Here is a 7,208-nt window from a genome sequence, read left to right as displayed (position 1 = left end):
CAGGCTGGAGTGCAAGTAGCACGATCTTGGCTCACTGCAACGTCACCTCCCGGGTTCAAGTGATTCTCGTGCCTCCACTTCCCTAGTAGCTGGGATTACAGGCATGTGCCACCAAGCCCAGCTAATTATTATTATTTTTTAAAAATATTTAGTAGAAACAGGTTTTCGCCATATTGGCCAGGCTGGTCTTGAACTCCTGGCCTGAAGTGATCCGCCAGCCTCAGCCTCCCAAAGTGCTGGGATTACAGGTGGAAGCCCCCATGCCTGGCCTGGGAAAATGTGTTTTAATTCACTTTGATTTGTTTTCTCATATCTTCCATATAATTGGAGAATTGCATTTATCTTTTCTTTAATAATAAGAATCAAAAGGAAAGTCCTCAAACACTTTCTTTCGTCATCAGGTTTTTAGAAGTTCTGATACCTGAAATATGAATGTATCTAAATCTGGACCTCACAAGCCAGGGTGCGTAATGGTAACACACAGTAGAACTCTCTCCTTCTCCGCAGGCAGCTGCCAGGATGGAAACCCCAGCTCCCCTGCCTCCTGGCTGTGTGACCTTGGGCAAGTTGCTTTATCCCCCTACACATCGGTTTTCTCCATCAAGAAATTGGAATACTAATAGTACACATTTGATAGGATTGTTATGAGGATTAATTGGGGTATGGACTAGGAGATGCTCAAGAAATATTAACTTTTATGTGTACTATATTACTATATATTTACTGTATATTAATGCACGGATTAATGTACATCCATGCATTGCTTAACAACAGGGATATGTCTTGGTCAAAGCAGTTTTGCTATTGTGTGAACATTCTAGGATGCACTTACGGCACCAACCTGGACGGTATAGCCTGCTACACACTGAAGCTATATGGCATAGCCTACTGCTCCTAGCTACAAACCTGTAGATCATGCTACTGTCTTGAATACTATAAGCAACTGTAACACAATGGTAAGCATTTGTGTATCTGAATATATCTAAATACAGAAACGGTACACCAAAATTATGGTGTTATAATCTTATGGGACCACCACCATACATGTGGTCCATGTTGACCAAACATCATTGTCTGGTACGTAAGTGTGCATATACATATATATATATATATATATATATACACACACACACACACACACACACACACACACGGGTGTGTGTGTGTGTGTGTGTGTATTTCTTTCTCGGCAAAGATTGATTATCTTTCATTTTTCTAATAAAGGGAAAGCTGGGAACCCTTGCATCTGAGGCCAGTTCACTTCTTTGTTTCAATGTTTGACCCCACCTGAGGCCCTTTGGCAGGGATAAGCCCCATATAGCGTGGCTCACAGGACAGAACTCCAAACCAATGGGTATTGGGAATTGCTCACTTAAATAAATATGAGTCTCTGGATTTTTTTTCAAAGCAATTTCCAGAACAGGACATCTTAGCTAAAAGGAAAGTCCCAAAGCCTCTGTGCACACTTCTATCATTGCACTGAAGAGCAGTTGGGTGGGACATCCCAATTCTGTGGCCTGTGGAGTCCTTACTCCTTCCTTCAGGGTCCCAAAGTCATTCAAGGTCAGGTGGGCCTCCAGGAAGCTAATGATCCTTTGCAACCAAATCTAAACACCCGTCCTGAGGGAGAATGGATTTTCCAAAGCCCTGCCCATGGGTTTTCCAGTGTCCCAATTTTATGCTTGTTATTATGACTTAGAAAAGCTTGCTGGGTTTGTTTTGAAGACAAGGGAAAAAATAACATTACGCTATTTTAAACGGCTGCAAATATTTGAAATATGACCCAAGGCAGTAAAAATGCTGTATTTCTCAAACCACAAACCCTACTCCTTGTTAAAATCCAATTGCCATCTGAGAGTGGGATGAGGAGTAGGGATGCCAAGTCCACAGAGCATCATACGTTTCATCTTTCTTTGGGTCACTGAAAAATACTGTTTTCTCCACCACTTTCATTCCTGCATTTCACAGCCTGAGTTCATAAAACTGCTGAAAAACCATACTCCAAATGTGATTTGGGCTTTACTCTCGTGATGTTTGAGACCCTGCAGCTTTTAGATCTCATTATGACTTGGTTTGGGAGGACAGGGCTTGGAGAGGACTGAAAAGGAAATGCAGATCATCTCTGATACTTCTTTGGACATTGGAGATGGAAAAGCGTAGGTCATTTGAAGAGCGGCTGCCATTGTTTTCTTCCTGTTTCTCTATGGTGCTCAGAGCACAAGAACTAATGCTGGTTAATTTGGGGGTATGCTGTGCCAAGCACGGTGTCTGACACTGAGCATTCAACAGACATTCGTTGAATGAATGATCTATTTAAAGAATGAGGCCTAAAAGGGAAACGAAATTGGCATCACTAGCTTTATTTTTACTGTATTTAAGAAAGTGGACTGTTTTATGTTAACTGTATAGTTTGAAATTTAAACACAATATTTGGGCCTACATAAATAGTTGGAAAAGGTAAAATGTCATAACACTGGGTGTTTGTTATTAAAGTTGGAGCTTGCCTTTGGATTATGACAACTTGATTTAAAACAAGGAATGGATTGTTCCTTGCTCTGCTTGCTCTAAATTTCAGGATTTTGCAACATCAAATCTTTCCTTGGGATATAAACAGATGGTGACAAAGGGTAGGTGTCTTGAGGAGTCGTTGCATCTGAGCATTGACCTTTCTGGGTGGTTGAAGATAAGATGGAGAGAAGCTGACCCCAGACCCAGCATAGAGCAATTCTGATGGCAAACCCACCCAACCTATGGTGTCCCACATTAAAACCAGCTACTTCTCTCAAAGTTCCATAAGTGGAAGACTGGAATGTAACCAAGCAGTAACAGGGAAAAGAGAAGTGACTTTTTTTCTCTTAACTTTTTAATTAAAAATTCAAGGATATATGTGTTGGAGTTTCATGACCTTTACCTCAAGAGGATAGTTTTTTTCTCTTCACCTCAGCACCCCACCAAAACACACATAAGACCTGCTTAATGTCAGCCTTTATGATTATCACAGAGCAACAAAGCTTGAGTATGAGGAGGAAGACCGTCCTCCACTCCAGGAGGCTTGGAATTCTAGGGCCCCACCATGTTGGTGTAGTCACATTTTATCTTCTATTAAGCCCCTTCTTTATAAGCTCGTGATAACTGCCTATCAGCTGAAGTGTCTGAGATGTGCTACATCCTTAAAATTAAGAGTTCTGTTGAAGGGTGGGTTAACAGATACAAAATTACAACTAGAAGGAGAAATGAGTCCTGGTGTCCTACAGCACTATAGAGTGAATGTGGTTAACTATAATTTACTGTATATTCTCAAATAGCTAAAAGAGGGGATGGGGGGGTTGTTTGTTTGAGAAGGGTCTCACTCTGTCACCCAGGCTGCAGTGCAGTGGCATGATCATGGCTCGCTGCAGCCTTGACCTCCCAGGCTCAAGCAATCCTCCCACCTCAGTCTCCTGAGTAGCTGGGACTACAGGTGCACGCCACCACACCCAGGTAATTTTTTGTATTTTTGGCAGAGATGAGGTTTCGCCATGTTGCTCAGGCTGGTCTCAAACTCCTGGACTCAAGTGATCCTTCTGCCTCAGCCTCCCAAAGTGCTGGGATTACAGGTGTGAGCCACCATGCCCAGCTGAGAGGGGATTCTGAATGTTCACAACACAGAGAAATGATAAATGACTGAGGAGGTGGATTTGCTAACTACACTGATTTGATCATTACACATGGTATACATGTGTCAAAATGTCACTCAGTTTCTCATTAACGATGTACAATTATTACATGTCAACTAAAACTACAAGAAAAAAAAGTTCTGTTAAAGGAAAACAAAACAACAAGCAAACCAAAAGTTTAAGGGAAAGAGACTTTTGGAAGAATGAGATCAAGTTCAGATCCCAACGCACCACTTGCTGCCTGTGTGGATTTAGGCAAATCACTTGTTGCATTGAGCCTCCCTCTATTGCCTCATATATAAATATAGAAATAACAAGAATACCTTCCCCGTGGAGTGGTTGTGAGGCCTGAATGAGATAATGCATTAAAGCACTGAGCAAACTGCGTGGCACACAGGAAGTGCTCAGTGCTCAAGAACAAATGTAAGTAAATGAGACATATTAAACTAAAAATCCAGGCCTACCCTAGGACCACAACAGTGGAATTTTCTGCAAAGAAGCATGGCAGAGGGAGGCACTCAGCCTGTTTCCGCCCGGAAGAGGGTTGATACTGTTCTGACAACAACCAAGCCTCAAGGAAAAAAACACCCAAGGCAAGCATCTGGGCTTCCACCCTCTGCTCACCTGGTTTCCAATTAGCACCTTATTAGGCTGCACACCTGGGGTGAAACTTTAAGCTCTACCAGCAATTCTTTAACCCTATCCTGGGCTTTTCTTGCAGATGGGCAGAGCTGTGTAAGAATCTCCTCCTTACCATTTGGAGGGATGAAAATAAGGGAAGGGCCCCATTTATGAACTCTAGACACTTAGTGTGGTTTTCTCCACCATTTCCTGGGTGTGAACTTTTCACCAGTCTGCTGAAGCCTGGGGACCCCTTCTCAGTTCAAAACCTTGAAGCTTTTGAAATGCATAAAACAACATATACAGAACTATAAAAGAAAAAATTATATTAAAGCACAGTATTTAAATTTTAAAATCATAATTATAATAACATATGAACTTCTTTGGTAATACATCCTATAGCATGATCTAGCAGCCAGTCTAATAACTACCATAATTTTGAAGAAAGGATGAGAAAAAATGCTGTTTTAGACATGTACCACTCTGATCTGAAAATACCAGTCATTTCTACTGGTGACCGAGTAGCATGTGCTGTCAATGCAGTTATGGTTTTTTTGCCTACAGTCATAATGGAATGAAATGTTTAATTCTAGTTAGAGATTGTAGAAAATTGAGAACATTTTTCCCATGCAAGTTTATCTAAGTTAGGAACCCCCAACCTTGATGCTTCCAAACTTCCTCTTTCCCCAGCCTCTCTTTCGAGCTTTGGAACCAGAGCCAGCTTGCCCATTATAGGTACAGCAGACACAATGCCCAGGGCCCATGATACTTTTAAAGGCTTATGAAAGCATTTTCATTTTAATTTCTTTTAAAACTGGAAGAATGACCGGGTGTGGTAGCTCACACCTGTAATCCTAGCACTTCGGGAGGCCAAGGCGGGCAGATTGCTTGAGCCCAGGAGTTTGAGACCAGCCTGGGAAACATAGTGAAACCCCATCTCTACCAAAAAATTCAAAAATTAACTGGGTGTGGTGGCATGCACTTGTGGTCCCAGCTACTCGGGAGGCTGAGGTAGGAGGATCACCTGAGTCCAGGTGGTTCAGGCTGCAGTGAGCCATGATCACACTACTGCACTCCAGCCTGGATAACCGAGTGAGGCCTCGTCTCAAAAAAAAAAAGGAAGAAAAATGAACATAATAATAATAGATCTATAATAATAAATTCAGACTGGATTATATTCCTCTTTATACAAATGCAGTCTTCAGTGTAATTTTTAAGTTTTTTTTTAAATAAAGGAAGGGGCTTATGAAGACGTGAGGTCCTTGGGCCCTTGAAAGTCACATGCAGCCCTGCCTGGTGTTGATGGTATTTCCTCAGTCTGCTCTGTCTTTGAGAGTCTAAGTATAAAACAAGCAATGCCGAGGAGATAAGGCATGTCCTTGGTTTGGCAATCCCCTTGTCCACCTGAGTACTAGCCTACTAGGACTCTGCTCTTTTGCTACTGGAGCTGTGTGGGTTGGAGTCTCCATCGAGTGTCACCTTTTCCCATTCCAAGCAGCACCAGCAATTCCGCCAGGTTTGCCCAGGACTTTCCCAGTTTGGGCACTGGAAGTGTCATGTCCTAGAAAACCTGTCAGTCCTGGGCAAACCAGGATAGTTTATCACCTTGTATCCAACGTCAAAACATCTAGGAACCTGCTGTGGTATAAATGGGATTGTCTGCCCTGGGTTCCTCGCTGAGCCTCATCTTCAGAGGGAAAAAATGCAAACCCACAAAGTCACCAGGAGCACTGAGCATGATCCACTGTGGCCAAACGCACAAAGTGAGCTCTCTCCATCTTAATTTGGCTGCTCTAATACAGAAAACAATAAAAATTAAAAGGCCTATACCCTCAATGACAAGATGAGCCCTGATAAGTTTTTCGTTTACTAAAATATTATGTACACACTGGTCTTTTTTTTTTTTTTTTTTTTTTTTTTTTTTTTTTTTTGCTTCGTATAATACAGAAAGATTTAAATACAGAAAAAGGAAAAATTTCTTCTACCCCCCATGTCAACTCCTAGGCCTTCTTTGCAAAAGTAGCCAGTGTTAACACTTTCTTATAGATCCCTTCTCCAAAAAGATTCTAAGTCACTAATGTTGTTAGCCTAATTCCAGAGTCCTCATTTCTAATTACGTAGCATCCTAGCTTGACAGTGCACTGTTGCACATATTTCTTAATGGCTGGGTACTTCAGTTTCTCTGTCTGAAGACAAGAATAATGACTGGACTTAGCCAATGAGTGACGGTCCATGTGAAATGCTTAGTACTTGGCACATACTCAGTTCTCCTCAAATGCTGTTGATTGTAGTCAGTAACAGTAATGTAGTAATTGCCATCATCGTTGTTGTTGCCTCTGTTTCTCTCTTACCCTCCCCTCACACTAGGTTACTAGTGGCCTAAGAAAGTAGAATGGGGCCAGTTTCAGTGGCTCATGCCTGTAATCCTGGTGCTTTGGGAGGCCAAGGTGGGAGGATTGCTTGAGCCCAGGAGTTCAAGACCAGCCTGGGAAACATAGGGAGACCCCGTGTCTACAAAAACTAAAGTTAGCCAGGCATGGTGGCATATGCCTGTAGTCCCAGCTACTTGACAGGCTGAGGCAGGAGACTGGGAGGTTGAGGTTGCAGTGAGCCATGATCATGCTACTGCACTCCAGCCTGGGCAACAAAGTGAGACCCTGAAAGAAAGAAAGAAAGAAAGAAAGAAAGAAAGAAAGAAAGAAAGAAAGAAAGAAAGAAAGGAAGGAAGGAGAGAGAGAGAGGGAGGGAGAGAGGGAGGGAGAGAGGGAGGGAGGGAGGAAGGAAGGAAAGAGAGAGAGAAAGGAAGGAAGGAAAGAAAGAGAAAGAGAGAGAAAAGGAAGGAAGGAAAGAGAAAGAGAGAAAGGAAGGAAAGAAAGAGAAAGAGAAAGAAAGAAAAGGAAGGAAGGAAAGAGAGAAAGGAAGGAAGGAAAG

At 42.3% G+C, this 7,208-nt stretch overlaps 1 annotated feature.

Annotated features, from left to right (window-relative positions):
• Nucleotides 6,580–6,793: a silencer, noted in NCBI's record as "fragment chr3:66663707-66663920 (GRCh37/hg19 assembly coordinates)". NCBI's record gives its function as "represses an EF-1alpha promoter that drives an FKBP-Casp9 reporter gene in an ReSE screen in phorbol 12-myristate 13-acetate-treated (for megakaryocytic differentiation) K562 erythroleukemia cells {active_cell/tissue: K562(+PMA)}" and the evidence as "EXISTENCE:reporter gene assay evidence [ECO:0000049][PMID:32094911]".

The sequence above is a fragment of the Homo sapiens genome, chromosome 3, assembly GCF_000001405.40.
Source record: "Homo sapiens chromosome 3, GRCh38.p14 Primary Assembly".
Taxonomy (NCBI): Eukaryota; Metazoa; Chordata; class Mammalia; order Primates; family Hominidae; genus Homo; species Homo sapiens.
The sequence above is the reverse complement of the archived record's forward strand: the minus strand, read 5'-3'. Positions and strand labels throughout refer to the sequence as shown.